The 16,103-nt window shown below is 38.0% G+C and overlaps 1 protein-coding gene across 20 annotated transcripts in view, besides 1 other annotated feature; it reads left to right on the top strand.

Annotated features, from left to right (window-relative positions):
* RGS7 (regulator of G protein signaling 7) overlaps positions 1-16,103 on the top strand; it is a 582,489-nt gene that overhangs the window by 29,685 nt on the left and 536,701 nt on the right. For 2 of the 20 annotated variants that reach the window (NM_001350114.2, NM_001350116.1), the window contains one exon: positions 11,911-11,982. The exons of the other annotated variants lie outside the window; for them this stretch is intronic. The gene's annotated coding sequence lies outside the window, so the exon portion shown is untranslated. The remainder of the gene's footprint in view (positions 1-11,910; positions 11,983-16,103) is intronic. 20 annotated transcript variants of the gene reach the window in all.
* Positions 3,740-3,940: a silencer, noted in NCBI's record as "peak795 fragment used in MPRA reporter construct". NCBI's record gives its function as "represses an SCP1 promoter by STARR-seq MPRAs in K562 erythroleukemia cells {active_cell/tissue: K562}" and the evidence as "EXISTENCE:reporter gene assay evidence [ECO:0000049][PMID:32103011]".

Raw genomic sequence — 16,103 nt, 5'->3', positions numbered from 1 at the left:
TTATAATAATGACACATGATGGAGCTCAAGTAACAACTGATGTCCCTATACTTGGTTGAATTATGAAAACTTATGCTGTTGGCTTTTCTTCTTGCCTGTTATGTATTATTTAATAAGGAATCCCATAATAACATGTTTTTACTCTTTAGGCTATTTAGTTCATTGCCTTCATCATTGCAATATGAAAACATTCATAATAAACAGTTTTATGAAGTTTATTTCAGGTGCTATATTTCCTATAGGCATGTGTCCTTAAACACCAGGAGGTTCAGAAGTTGATATCTATGGCCTGCCTCTAACAGAGTATAAGGGCCTACATGGCAGGTATTCTAATTTCTAATTACCTACCTGTACCTATGGCTTGATCTTAGTCTGTGTGTTTCTTTCTTTCTTTCTTTCCTTTCTTTCTTTCTTTCTTTCTTTCTTTCTTTCTTTCTTTCTTTCTTTCTTTCTTTCTTTCTTTCTCTTCCTTCCTTCCTTCCTTCTTCCTTCCTTTCCCCTCCCTCCCTTCCTTCCTTCCTTCCTTCCTTCCTTCCTTCCTTCCTTCCTTCTTCCTGCCTTTCTTCTCTCTCTCTCTCTCTCTTCCTTCCTTCCTGCTTATTTCTCTCTCTCTTTCTTAATTTTTTTTCTCTTTTTTTGACAGTGTCTCACTCTGTCACCCAGGCTGGGGAGCTGTTCCATGATCTCAGCTCACCGCAGCCTCAACCTCCTGGGCTCAAGTGATCCTCTCACGTCAGGCTCCTGAGTAGTTGGGACTACAGGTGTGTGCCAGATGGGTTTCAACATGTTGCCCAGGCTGGCCTTGAGCTCCAGAGCTCAAGCGACCTGCCCACCTTTGCCTCCCAAAGTGCTAGGACTACAGGTGTGATCCATCACACCTGGCTTAATCCTACTTTTTCTACTGTTATTTTTGATTCTCTGAAATTTACTAATTGTTGACATTTAATGTGTCTTTCTAATTGGTGTTCCATGTTTTTAAAAGATAAAACATAGGGCAAATAATAATGTAGGTAAATATTAAACACAGTTTTTAAAGAACAAGGTGAAGTACAGACAATAAATAGACACACAATTTGGTAATGCTGTTGTAGACAGGCCTACTGATACACGGAGAAACAAAGAAAGCAGGTGGTATAGCTGGAGGATTCTCTACCTTTAATAAGCTGATGTGAAAATTGAAGAGGAGGTTATTTAGAGCAAGAAGGTAGCCTATGGTTTATCCAATTCTTTCTGGAGGATCTTGAGAGGAAGCCAGGTTAACAGTGGTCATCCTTTGCATCTCACTAAGGAGCTGGTGTACGTACGCAACCAGGGTCCCAGGAGGAAACTGCTGAGGGATTTCTTCTGTCCCTCAGTATTTTCCAATTAGTAGTGAAACCGGAGATGAAGTTCCTAGAGACACCTCTGTTTGAGTACACATCCTAGGCGGGGGAATGTGAGTGCTTTGGAAAGTATTATGACTTTCCTGGGGAAGCTGAAAGCCACTGGGAAAGTGACCTTTGCTGGGTGAAGCAACAAAGAGCTTACTTTGTTTTATCAGTAGATCCGATCACTCTGTATTTTAGTTTATTTAACAGGGTAGCCTCTTGAGTAGAGAGCAGAGGAGCATAGTGAAAAAAAAGAAAAAATGTAACGGTTGTTCCAAGTCATCCTGTTTGCCTGGAGAAGTGAGAAAAATTACATTTTCCTGTAAGAGACTTACAGATATTTTATTCTATTTCCTCCTCCTCTTCCTCCTCCCTTCCCCTCTGTATGTGTCTCAATATTTGATGATAACTGAAAAAAAGGAGAATAGTTTGTGATCAGAATGTTGTCCTAAAACATGAGAGATGCATGCACAACAAGTATCAGATCTAAAATCCCTGCATGATGTCATGGAGTCTGCCAAATGGTCTCTGTATAAAAGTTGCCAATAACCCAAATGGAGTGAGAACCTCTTGCCAACAGACACGTTTCTCCTTTCCTAGTGAAAGTCAGTAGAGATTTATTTGAAAGCAGGTTTAAGTGTGTGCACCTGTGACTGGCAGTGTGTTAGGCATACATGAAAGATGCCTCTCATATCATCAATATGAGTACCCTTTTTACCGTCCTATGGTCATTTTTCATTTTTATGTTTATAGCTTAGCGTGAGTAACTGTGGAGAGCCAAACTGCAGATTCAATAGCAAAATAGTACCTGGCCTATGAGTTCTGTGTAACTAATAGGCACAAGGATCCTCTGCTAGTTTGGATCACTGTGATCGCTCAATAAGAATTCATTGAAAAGGGTTTCAGTGCCTCCCCCTTATATCTAATTTCATCTTTTTGTGCTCAAGAGCACCAACTTATTAGGAAAGTTTTTCACCTTGAACTAGAGAAAATCTTTGTTGTTTAAATAATTGGGTTTCCCCCGTAGCAACAGGATTCTATTTTATCTCCTTAGAGTCAGGTCGTGGATGGGAACATGGAGGAATTAAAATACATCCTATGGAATAGTTTCAAATGTGTTTACCAACAATTTTCCCATATCAGGGTTACCTTGTTTATGAACTTCACAATTATTTTTTATCACTGTTTATTTAAAATATAGCTACTGCTTTTTTGGAAAGATGTGTCCATAGCTTTATAGTAGAATGTGATGTCTTTTAATAGAAATACAGAATACTCTATGACCAAGGAAAAGAAAATCATTAGGTCAGAGTATAAAGATAAGAGGCATTTTATTAAGAAAGAGCTTTTGAACTGAACCTTAAGACTTAGGCCAAAAACTTGTGTCTTTATCCAGACCTGTAAGTCAGAAAAAGATCCTGGGCAAGGAAAAAAGCCAGAGAAAATGAATAGATATGAGGAAGGACCATGAAAAGCTGGTAGGGATGAGTAGGGGATGAATTGAGGAACTGAGATCAGACTGTAAAAAGTTGCCATGGTCATTCTAAGGAAATCTGGTCTTTATTCAGCAGACAGTGGTGTGTTCCAGAAGAGTATTTAATTAGAGGTGACTGTGAATTAGAAGTTTTTCTTCTGATGCAATGCAAAAAGGGTACACGTATTAGAAGACAGAAAGTTCAATGATGAGGCCCTCATAAAGTCTCCATGAAGGGAATGAGTGCATGAGTTATACTTTTTGCAGAGAAAATGGATTATACATGAGATTTAGAATCAATTGTGGTGGTAGGAAGAAAAATAAAGAATCTAGGTTTTAAGTAAAAAGTTGCTTTTTTTTTTGTTTTTTTTGCTTTTATATATTTTTCTTTCATCCCAAACTGTCTCCAAGGCAAAACATCTAAGGTTTAAAATCTTAACTATAATAGTCTACCTATTTCTTAAGTGAACAAGCTGGTAATAAGTAAATAGAGTTAGTTTAAATTTAAAGCTAATTTATTTCTCTATTGAGCTACTATGCCCGTGTGGAAAAGGAAATTATCATCATTGTTGTCACCATCATGCTCCTGATCATCGTCTAACATTGGAGCCGTCTGTGCTAACCACTACACATTCATCATCTCACGCATTTCTCATAACAACCCTTTGAGGCATTGCTATTATATCCATTTTAAACATGATAAATTGGAGACTAAGAGAGACTAAATAACTTGCTTAGGGCCACAGAGGTAATAAATGACAGAGCTGGGCTTCAGTCTCAGGCAGACTGGGCTTTTAAAAATTACCATTTGCCTAGGCCTTTTTGTCACAGGGCCTATCAGTAGGTTAAATTATATTATTATGACTTCTGTGTCTGTCCAAATAATTTAGGTACATTGTGACTCTGTGGAATTGGAGTTGGGTTGCATTTCAGGATAGATGTGAGTCTGCAGGTTGACTGGAATCAGAACCTCAGGGTATCAGGACCTCGGACAGCTCTCGCGTCTGTTCTCCGTTGGCAGCTCTGCTTCTCTCCAGGCATCTTCATCTGCCTGTTTTCTACTGATTAGCTTTCCCCCTCTACTTTGTCTCTTGGACTCGTTCATATCATTGACTTACAGTAGTTCATTCTTCTGATTTCCTAGTCCAGAGTTTTGAGATTCAAATCTGATTGCCCAGTTTATCCTTTAATACTTGGGCAGAGGTTTGCCACTGGCTTGTGTGTGCATGGGCTGATTCTGACTGAAGATTTACTTCTTATTCCTACAACGGGGTCAGGGAGGAAGGAGAAGACTGCAGTTGTAAGCCTCCTCCTCTTAGGCCTCCACAGGCGCTGACAGGCGCCTCTCTAGCTTAAAGGAAGTAGACTGTATCTTGCAAACATACATCACAATTTAAATGAAAAAAATTGTCACAACATTCATTGGTATTTAAAACATTGCATATTATTTAGAACTTGATATATTCATTGGCACTTATAGCCACAAAAACATATTATCAAGAAATTTTCTATTATCACAAAATCAGATGCCTTCATGTTTTCTCTCTTATTTTTAAGGGAAAATATCAAAGCAGTTTGGGGAGTTTGCAGTGTATGATAATAAATATGATATTTAAACGATGAAACTAAATGGTGAAAATCTCTTGTTTTTTATTTTCTGCCTTAATAAGATTTATATTTGTGTTTTTTACTGTTAGTAGAATTTAGAAATTATTTTATTTCCTGGCCCTACCAATTTGATTTGTGTCCTTCAGAGTATTCTTAGATTACAGTATAAAAATTCAAAGTCTGAGCAATATTCATGATCCTATTTTTATTTGTCCTTTATGTGAGAATTCATGAATTACAGTACCTGTATTTTACATTTTGTTAAAAAAAATCTTGTGGAAAAGGTAAGGCTATTGGTGATATGACTGTATAGCACTTAAGCACTCCATGATCTAAAAGTATTTCCAAACTAACATCTTCAGTAGTAACCATGTTGGTACTTATCATTCTATGCCATAGGACCCTCAAATTTTCTGACATTGGAACTTAAAGAATCTCTGAGGGGTGGCTTAGCATCAAGGCCCAGGTTACACATGAGAGACAACACATGCAGTAGATAATTGAATTCAGGGTGGCAGATATGCTAAACCCCTGCTTTTCTTGAATTTATGTAAGTAGGATATTCAAACATCAGATTTTTAATACTCTTTCTTTATATGAGAATCAAATAAGTGGCAGATAAGCTGCTATTAGAGATTAACTGGCTAAAACAACTTTTAGTATCAGTTAAAGAGTGAATATATAGTCAACCAATATCTTGCAACCTCTGAATCTATCAAATAATGGTAGTCGATATGTGTGATTATGTGGAGAAATGAAATAATCCTGAGATGCCTTCTGAATCATTTTGTAAAAAGATTCAGCCACTCACTTATAGGTGTGGTGTTGTACACCTAGTATGTGCTAACAACAGTTACTTATAAAGGTGAGCAAGGTGAGGTTTACTTACAAAGGTGAGCAAGATGTGGTAGAGGTGGCAAGAGACATGTATGCCAGCAGAGTGAGAACGTAGAGGACAGAGACATTGCTCTCAGGTGGGATAATCTAGACAGGCTTCAGAGAGGAGGGCTTCTGATGAGTTAGGTTTGAATAGGTGAAATGGGAGGAAGGTTAGTCAAGTGGGAAAAACCGTGAGAGGGCAGACATGGAGGTGGAAGAGTTCTCTGAATGCTCAGAGAACAACACAGAGTCTCTTGGGGATGGAGCGTAGATTTTGCAAGGGACATGTGGTTAATCAACAATGAAGGCAGATTGGAGCCAGTTTGTGAGGAGCTTGAATTCTAGAACGGCGGTTTGGACTTTATTCCACAACTAATGAGTGAGAATTATACACTGTCAATCAGTGCCACATTTTTGAGCGCTGATTGAGCTATGTTTTTAGAAGTCTATCTGGCTACTATGTATATAATAGATTATAGAAGGTTATTTAGAATTATGGTTATTAGATCTAGGTGCAGTTTATTCTTTAAGGTTCATAGTAAATATATAACATATGTCTTAATTCTCAGACATAATTGAAGGAACCATAACCTCCCATCTTCATGTTGTTCTGCACAAATGATAGTGTTCTATGGTTTGAGAAAGAGAAGTTTGGAAGATGTGGAAGCTGAAATAGTTAAAAAAATCTTTTAATCTGCATGAAGATTTTTCAGTGTGCCTTTGGAAAGTGAATCTGATGTGCTCACCCAATCTCGTTATCTGTGGGAGTGCATAGAGCCCGAGTGAGGTGGAAGGGGGATCGAGTTTGAATCCGCCTGGGGACTCCAAATTGCTTGAAAACAGAAAGCTGTGAGGATAAAAAAAACTGCTTGTGCTTTTTGGTTCTTCTGTAGAGAGACCATTTTATTTTTCAGTGCATTTCTTTGGAAGATAGGAAGAGCAATAAAGTTCAAATTTGAGATATCTAAAAGTGACTTTGTTAGTCCACAACAATGGAATCCTAAAGAACACTTCTCTGTCATGATACAATTTAAGAAGAAATTTATACTACCTACTCGCCCCACCCCAGCTACAAACTGAATTTGGGAAATAATACTTTCACACCAGTTTTAAAAGTTTATAAATCTTCATAAAATTATCTTTTCCAATTCTATACTTTCTGTAGTGAGTGATAGTCAGTGTGTCTTCCAATATTCCAGTGGGAATCATTGTTAATAACAGCAGATTTTGTTATTTTTTATGCCCATTCTAATCACATAACATTGGGTATTTACATTGATGATATTAGGCAATTGTCCAGTGCAGCCTTTATTAAGCTTTGTATTGTAAATACAACTACATTTTAGTTTAACACAGTGTTGGAACCAAGAAGGCTTGTCCCCACACCCCACAGCACCCCTTTTTGTTCCTGCTACAGAAAGTGCATGCTTCAACACTGCACTTAATAACACTACTGCAACTGTGGATTTGCCTGACTATTCCTGTTAGTCTCAGTTTGTTGAGGAAAGAAGCACTGTTCCTCCTTTCCATGTTCTAGTGCCTAACACCAAACCTGGCACTTACAATGCCATCAGTTAATGCTTATTGAATGATACTATTTAATTAAATGTATAGATTGAATTTATGTAGATAACATTCACCCTTTTTAGGGTGTCAAGACACCTAGTTTGTTTTTACTACTCGAGTCAAACAGCCAGTCACTTAAGTGAGAGAAAACAAAAAGGTCAACCATTTGTTTAAGTTATGGGAGTGTCAAAGTTGCTTATCCATTCATTCATTTCTTTATTCAGAAGGCACTGTGCTTTGTTAAATCACTTTCCACAGTTATTATAGTGTGATAGTGCTTACTGTTGATAAATTCATTGAGGGATCTCTCCGAAGGATGAGCATTTATATTGTAGTGGAGAACTCAGAAAGTGTTCCTGGGGAAGGTTTTGAAGGAAAACTCATAGTTACATGAGGAACATAGAGCAAGGGGCCTAATATATCAGCAACAGCACCTATTAGGGCACAGAGTTGGAATTAGCATGATGCTTCAGGGAACTACAAGTAATTCAGCATGGCTGGGAAAACACAGGGAGAGTAGTTAGCTTCTTTGGGACATTTTCAAACTTTTTTTCTTTTCTTTACGTGGAGTCTCGCTCTGTTGCCCAGGCTGGAGTGCAGTGGCACAATCTCAGCTCACTGCAACCTCCGCCTCCCGGGTTCAAGTGATTCTCCTGCCTCAGCCTCCTGAGTAGCTGGGATTAAAGGCGCACACCACCAGGCCCAGCTAATTTTTGCATTTTTAGTAGAGACGGGGTTTCATCATGTTGGTCAGGCTGGTCTCGAACTCCTGACCTCGTGATCTGCCCGCCTCAGCCTCCCAAAGTGCTGGGATTACAGGCGAGAGCCACTGCGCCCGGCCTTCGAACTTTTTAAAAACAAAAATTAAATTATAAAACATTTTCTAGAATATGTTTAATGAGTGAAGTGAGATATGATTATGTTATCTTTTTAAAATTTATGTTTTTAAAAATAAACTTTTGGGTCAGGCATGGTGGTTCATGCCTGTAATCCCAGCATTTTGGGACGCTGAGGCAGGAGGATCACTTAAGGCCAGGAATTTGACGTTACGGTGAACTATGATGGTGCCACTGAACTCCAGCCTGGGTGACAAAGTAAGACCCTGACTCTAAACATAATAATATTTTTAATAAAATTTTATTTCTCTATCCCAGGAGTATTTCACAATCATTATGTAAACTTGGAAACATCACCTTTAATCCCTCCAGTTAAAGGCACTACCACCATTAATATTTTGTTGCATTTTCTTAGGGTATTTTTATACCAACATTTAATAGGCACCATTAACAGTAAAATCTATATTCTTGTATTTTTCTTTTATATTAGCATTTCATGTTTACATTTCATGGATGTATAACATGGGAAAATCAGTCAAGTCACATTTTTGTAATAAATCATGATTTAATGGCTTTTATTGTAGAAAGGGAGTAGAAAGCTAACATTTATTGACACCCCATGAAGATTTTTATATTAAATATTATCAGCCAACCAAGTTAAAGATGCCAGAGGCAACCATACTACAGTGTCCAGAGGGTAAGAAATGGTTATGGTGCTATCACATCTGTATGGATTTCAAGTTGAGCTTAGGTTGTTCATTTAATCATTTTAACAATCTGGTGAAACATTTGAAAAATCACACATGATCCACCTGTCTTCCTGAGGAGTAATTGATGGATCAGTATCCTTCGTTTGATCATCTTTTTCTGCTTTTTTGTTAAAAAAAAATTAAGTGTCGTGCATTTTTAAAGGGCTAAGTCCAGGAAGCCTTTTGTAAATGAAGCAAATCGAATATGTATTGCTTTATAATGATTAAAATATAAATGTTGATCATTTTTGCTTATAAAACAATAGCTCTACATTGAAAATTCTCAGGATAGTCTGGGCATGGTGGATTATGCCTGTAATCCCAGTACTTTGGGAAGCCGAGGCAGGTGGATCACCTGAGGTCGGGAGTTCGAGACCAGCCTGACCAACATGGAGAAGCCCTGTCTCTACTAAAAATACAACAACAACAACAAAAATAAGAAATTAGCCAGGTATGGTGGCACATGCCTGTAATCCCAGCTACTCGGGAGGCTGAGGCGGGAGAATCGCTTGAACCCAGGAGGCAGAGGTTGTGGTGAGCCAAGATTGCACCATTGCACTCCAGCCTGGGCAACAAGAGTGAAACTCTGTCTGGGAAAAAAAAAAAGAAAAAAGAAAGAAATTTCTCAGGATAGAAGCCTTTTAGATGCTGGCAAGGGCATATATGCACATAGAATACTTTAAAATGATGTCAAATATAAGAAATGACTTTTTACAGTGGAGAGCTCTTTGATGTCATCTACGTGATAGATTCCAACCAAGTCTCATTTTATATTTAATGTGAAATATTATAGATGTCTATAATTTTACCATTATCTTAAAAACTGAGATACTTCCATTAGTGTGTGATTGCTGGATTCCAGTATTGACCAAACAATTTTAATCTTTTGTCTATATATGTCTTTACTTGCCCATTTCTATCAGAATGATTACTCTCTGGTTAGGACCTCCTGAGTGACAGGGGATATGTCTGTAACACGTAGACAAATGTATTATTCAAGGAGTAAGTATTATGCTCAGCCTCTCAGTTGAGAAGGTGAAGTGAGTGAGGGGCACCAAGATGGCAGGAGATGGTTTTCCTGTGGAAAACCCAAGACAGGATATTGTTTATGTGGAAAAGCCAAGGCCTTGAAAGGAAATCTCGGAAGAACTGGGAAGGCGTATGATTCAGTGTTTACTGCCAAATGTTATCTTCTGCTTTGGCAAAGGAGATGATGATATTATTGTCCCTGTAAGATATATTTAGAACCTAAAAATATATCCAACAGCAGCAACTGATGAGTGGCCAAGAAGCTGAAGTCTGAAACCTTGATAATCCAAAAAGATACATCTAATGATGTCAGCAACAGAGATGTTTATTCCATGATATTTTCAAAGGGTGCATACTTTTGATGTGCAGATAACCACTGATGATCTTTCCTCCCCAAATTCATTACTGGAATCCCGGGTGGCTGGGAGTGGAGTCCTGATTGCCATGGGTTCTCAGTGAGACCTTGAGAAGCCTGCCTCAGGATTTGGGGTTTGATTCAGCTGAAGAGTTGACAGTAGCTTCCTTTGTGCACATAGGGAGACGTAAGAAAAGAGGAATGCAGAAAGTAAGGGTAAGGTCCTTTCCCCATATTTGGCTCCAAATAATTCTAACAAGTTGTTTTCTGGAGACCAAGCTACAATGGTGTGCTGGAGCTGGCTTGTAGTATTTCACAGGAGCCAATTGCTAAATTCTCAGGAATTCACATGTTGGCTGTTAAACAGTATATATTAACTATTCAATTATATAAACTTATAGTTCATTAAATTATATTAAATGGAAGCAATACTCAAAACTTGTAACTTTCTAGTTTTTTACTCCATTTACAATTATCTGTGCTTTTGAGGTTGTTTACATCTTGTAAATAAACTGCTCATTTCTTCCCATCTCTGGGCTCCATATCAAACATTGGAAGCTTGAAATCAGCTTCCAAACGTGCAAATACTTTTGTTTGTATTTACCCCAGGGAAATCAGCAAACACTACAAATCAGTGCTTGATTGATTATTTTATTAGCTGTCAAGACTTCAGAAAGTGATGGAGAAAATGTTAACATTGCAAATATAAACTTAAAAGTGCATTAATGCCTTTCACTATTACATATTACTTTACATAATAGTAAACACATATATTATTCTGTATCTGAAAACTATTAAATGATCTGATTCAGCAACAAAAAAGTGGCTCACATCATTGATAAACAAATGGAATTTTGACATTCATCTTCTGAAAAATTGAAGAAAAGGGGACACTTCTAAACTCAGTTTATGAGGCCAGCATTAACCCAATACAAAAACTAGATAAAGATATAACAAAAAAAGAAAACTACAGGCCAATATCTATGATAAATATGGATGCAAAAATTCTCAAAACAATACTAGTAAACCGTCTTCACCAGGTCATTAAAAGGATCATACACCAGGACCAAGTGGGATTTGTCGTTGGGATGCAAGAATGCCTCACCACATGTTTGGTATTGTGAAATACTTACATTTGGTCTTCCATCAGTCTCCTGAATACAGCTCCTCAAATCCGGGAATCTCCAAAGTATTAAGTATCTCTTTATGCTAATGAGTTGACTGATTACTGGCTACCCTATGTAGCTTCAGGATGTGGGGACTGGTCACTGGAAAGACCAAGGCATGATTAGAAGGTAGGGACTTTCAGCCCCATCCTTGCTCCCCCACCTCCAGGGAGAGGAGAAGGGCTAAAGGTTGAGCTGGTCTTCAGTGGCCGGTGATTTAGTCAATCATGACTGTGTAACAGCACTCTCCCCAAACCCCCAAAACCTGGGTTCAGAGAGAGGTGAACACTTGGAGGTTCCTGGAGGGTGGCATGCCTGCAGAGGGCATGGAAACACTATCTCTAGGTAGATAGTGGCAGGACTGTACTGGAGGACAGCTAGTGTCTGCTCAAGAATTGATTGCTTGCTTGATGTGTGGGGAAGAACCCCCCGCAATGAGTGTCAGAAGCATGTTATGAAAGTAGAGTAGGAGAAACTAAGTTTGTTTTTCTACTTCTGTACCACGTGCAGATCAATTAATGTGATTCAGTATATCAACAAATGAAGGAAAAAAATCACACAGTCATCTCAAAAGATACAGAGAAAGCATTTTACAAAATGTAACAACCTTTATTGATAAAAATGCCTAATAATATATGTGTAGAAAGAATTTACTTCAACATAATGAAGGCTGTATATGAAAAGGGCACAGCTGACATCACACTCAATGGTAAAAAACTGAAAGCTTTTTCTCTAAGATCAGAAAAAAAGACGAGGATGCCTACTGTTGACACTTCTATTCAGCATAGCACTAGAAGTCCTAGCCAGGGCAGTTAGGCTAGAAAAGGAAATACGATGCATCCAAATCAGAAAACAAGGAGTAAAATTCTCTCTTTTCACAGATGACATGACCTTATATGTAGAAGATCCCAGAGACTTCACAAAAATTGTTAGAACTTGGAGCAGGAAAATCAGTAAGTGGGAGTTGTTGGTTTTATGGAATGTATTTAGCTAAAATTAGTAAAAAGTAATAACATTAGAGACTACATTCAAATGTTTAGTACCACAAGAAAGTGGCTTGGTTATCACTATCTTTTTTTAATCATCAAATTTTTTAAATGTATTTTCCCCCTATTCTGAAATTGCAAGGCTATAGGGATTAGCTATTATCAGATATCAGACAGTTGTTGACAGGAGAGCACGGCTGGGGAAGATGCAAGGTGTAGGAGGTCCACTTTAATTACAAAAAACAAAAACTGACCACTATTCAACTTCAAATAATTCAAGCTGAAGCTTCCCTTTTCATTCTTAGGTTGATCTTTGGCTGTTATTAAGACTGTCTTGATTTCTGGCACTCCTCTCTCCCTCAGCCCCAAGTCAGTTCTTGCCATTTTCTGCATCTCAAAAAAAAAAAAAAAAAAAAAAAAAAAGAAGAAGAAGAAAAAAAAAAAGCTTCTACTGTTTCATTGTTTGAATAAAACACCTTGAAGCTATTCTTGATGCCATCCTTTTTCTTACTCTGTCTTCAACATCAATAAGTTCCCCGGGCTCTAACTTTAAAATATATCTTGACTCTACTCACTTTAAACCATTTCTACTGCTACTACTATCAGTTTTTGCACAGACTATTGCAAAGGGCTCCCAAGTGGCTCTCATAGTTCCTACCTTCTATCTATTCCCTACAGTACAGTGAAAATAATCTTTTAAACATTTGAGTTAGCTCATGCTACAGCCTACACAAAATTATCAGTGAATTCCCCTTCCTTTGGCCTACAAATTCCGATGGTGTCTGGGCCCGACCACAGCTCTACTTCTTTTACCAAATCCCCTGCAAGAAAGGGAATTTATATATTTCTGATTCCCACTGCGCTCTACTTTTGTTCATAACATTTATTACTTTCTAACATTATATATAATTTATGTATTATAGGCATAGCTTGGATATATTGCAGGTTTGGTTCCAGATCACCTTGATAAATGAATATGACAATAAAGCGAGCCACACAAATTCTTTGGTTTCTGAGTGCATATAAAAGTTAAGTTTATACCACACTGTAGTCTAATAAGTGTCAAAGAACATTATGGCTAAAAAAACAAGGTACATACCTTAACTTAGAAATTCTTTATTGCTAAAAATTGTTCACAATTGTCTGTGCCTTCAGCAAATCTTTTTCCTTGGGGAGGATCTTGCCTCAATGTTGATGGCTGTTGACTGATGAGGGTGGTAGTTGCTGAAGGTTGGAGTGGCTGTGGCAATTTCTTCAAATAAACGACAGTGAAGTGAGCCGCATTGATTGACTCTTTCTTTCACGAAAGATTTCTCCATTGCATGTTATGCTGTTTGAGAGCATTTTATCCACAGAAGGACTTCGAAGATTGAAGTCAATTCTGTCAGGCCCTACTACGCTTTATTAACTATGCTTATGTAATATTTTAAATCCTTTCTTGTCATTTCAAAAATGTTCATAGCGTCTTCACTAGGAGTAGATTCCATCTCAAAAAACCACTTTTTTTTGCACATTCATAAGAAGCAAGTCCTCATCTGTTCAAGTTTTTTCATGAGATTACAACAATTTAGTCACATCTTCAGCCTCCACTTAAAATCCAAGTTCTCTTGCTATTTCTACCACATCTGCAGTGACTTCCACCGCTGAAGGCTTGAACTCCTTTAAGTCACCCATGAGGGTTGGAATCAACTTCATGCAAACTTCTGTTAATATTGTTATTTTGACCTCTTCCTATGAATTATGAAAGTTCTTAATGACATCTAGAATGGTGAATCCTTTCCAGAAGGTTTTCAATTTTTTTTGCTAGATCCATCAGAGAAATCACTATCTACATGGATAGATGTTATTATACATCTGTCTAGGTATAGACTTACAAAATGTATTTTGTTTTTAACTTGTAAGACTTAAAGTAGAAACTACTCCTCGATCCATGGGCTGCAGAATAGATGTTGTGTTAGCATGAAAACAACGTTAATCTTTTCATAGATCTTCATCAGAGCTCTTGGGTGACTGTGAGCATTGCCTGGGCCTTGTTGCTCCATTGATAGAGCACAGGCAGAGTGGATTTAGCATAATTCTTAAGAGTCCTAGGATTTTTGGAATGGTCAATGAGCATTGGCATAAACTTAAAGTCACCAGCGGCATTAGCCTCTACCAAGAGAGTCAGCCTGTCCTTTGAAGCTTTGAAGCCAGGCAATGACATCTCCTCTCTAGCTATGAAAGTCCTAAATGGCATCTTTTTCCAACAGAAGGCTGTTTCATCTACAAGGAAAATCTATTATTTAGTGTAACTACCTTCATCAATTCTCTTGGCTAGATCTTTTGGAAAACTTACTGCAGCTTCTTCATCAGCATTTGCTGCTTCACTTTGTACTTTTATGTTACGGAGATGGCTTCTTTCCTTAAACCTCATGAACCAACCTCTGCTAGCTATCAAATTTTCTCCTGTGACTTCCTCACCTCTCAGCCTTCATAGGATTGAAGAGAGTTAGGGCCTTGTTCTGGATTAGGGTTTGGCTTATGAGAATGTTGTGGCGGGTTTGATCATCTATCCAGACCACAAAAACTTTCTCCATATCAGCAATAAGGCCGTTTCACTCTCTTATCATTCGTGTGTTCACTGGAGTAGCACTTTTAATTTTCTTCAATAACTTTTCCTTTGCGTTTGCAACTTGGCTGACTGTTTGGCTTATCTTAGCTTTCTACATGCCTCTCTCATGAAGCTTCATGCTTCTGGCTTTTGATTCCAAGTGAGAAATGTGTGACTCTTCCTTTTACTTAACACTTAGAGGCCATGGTAGCATTATTAATTGGCCTAAATTTAATGTTGTTGTGTCTCAGGGAATAGAGGGGCCCGAGGAGTGGGAGAGACACAGGGCAACGGCTGGTTGGTGGAGCAGTCAGAACACATACAACATTCATGGATGAAGTTCACCATTTTAAAGGGGTGTGGGTTTTGGTACCCTAAAACAATTACAATAGTAACATCAAAGATCACTGATCACAGATCACCATCACAGATATCATAATAATGCAAACAAGTTTGAAACACTGTGGGAAGAATTACCAAAATTTGACACAGAGACACAGAGTGAGCACCTGTTGTTGGGAAAATGGCACTGATGGCCTTGCTCAGTGCGGAGTTGTCACAAACTTTCAGTTTATAAAAAATGCAATATCTACAAAGTGCATTAAAGCAAGCACAAGGCCTGTATATGTATCAATGTGCCATTGTTTGTAGTCTGTTTCTCTCACTAGAATGTAAGTTGCGTGAAGACAGTGACCTTTTTGTGTTTTGTTCACCAGTGCATCTCCAGTGCCTAGAATGGGGCCTGACACATTACAAATGTGCAATAAATATTTACTGAGTGAATCAAGATTGGAAATGAAAATCTGATGAATGATTGGAGAATGAAAGTAAAATCTCCCTGTATTTGGTAATCTACTGGTTATTGATCTTAATTTCCTAATCAAATGTCCTTTGTGAGGTTCAAATAATATGCTGAGGAAGACAGAGGTGTGATGAAATTCATGTCTGAAGTCATTGATTTTTCAAACCATCAAATGTTCATCTATTTGCTGATAAAAGGAGAGAAGCTCAGAGCTGCGCTGAGGTGTTTCTTCCGTGTATATACTCCTTTTAAGTAGCAGGAACAAAGAGAACCAGTTGATTTTCATGTAATTATTTTGGGGTTTTGTTTTCCAATTTGGGGACACATATCATGATACAGTCAGTTCTGCTATAATGCTCATTTGAAAACACAAATTTGTTCCAACACAATTGATATCTTAGGGAGCAATTCTCATGCAATGTGAATTTCGTGATTGTTTATGCATAGTTTCATTTGTGAGTGAATGAAAAAAACTGCACCCAGCTGAATTGAGCCCTATAGAAATATATAAAACGCCCATTTCTCAAACATCTACCAGCTACCTCACAGTTCAGGCCTTGGATATGAGCATAACACCTCCTACTGGCATGACAGCTCTCCAGCTTCAGACAATCCTCTTTCTACCACTTTCCAATAACTCACAAGCTTTAGCTCTTCCGGTGCTCACTTCCATGAGCCAACTTTCAGGTCTTTGTC

This window comes from Homo sapiens, chromosome 1, assembly GCF_000001405.40.
Source record: "Homo sapiens chromosome 1, GRCh38.p14 Primary Assembly".
Classification (NCBI taxonomy): Eukaryota; Metazoa; Chordata; class Mammalia; order Primates; family Hominidae; genus Homo; species Homo sapiens.
This window is presented reverse-complemented; position numbering and strand designations above follow the sequence as displayed.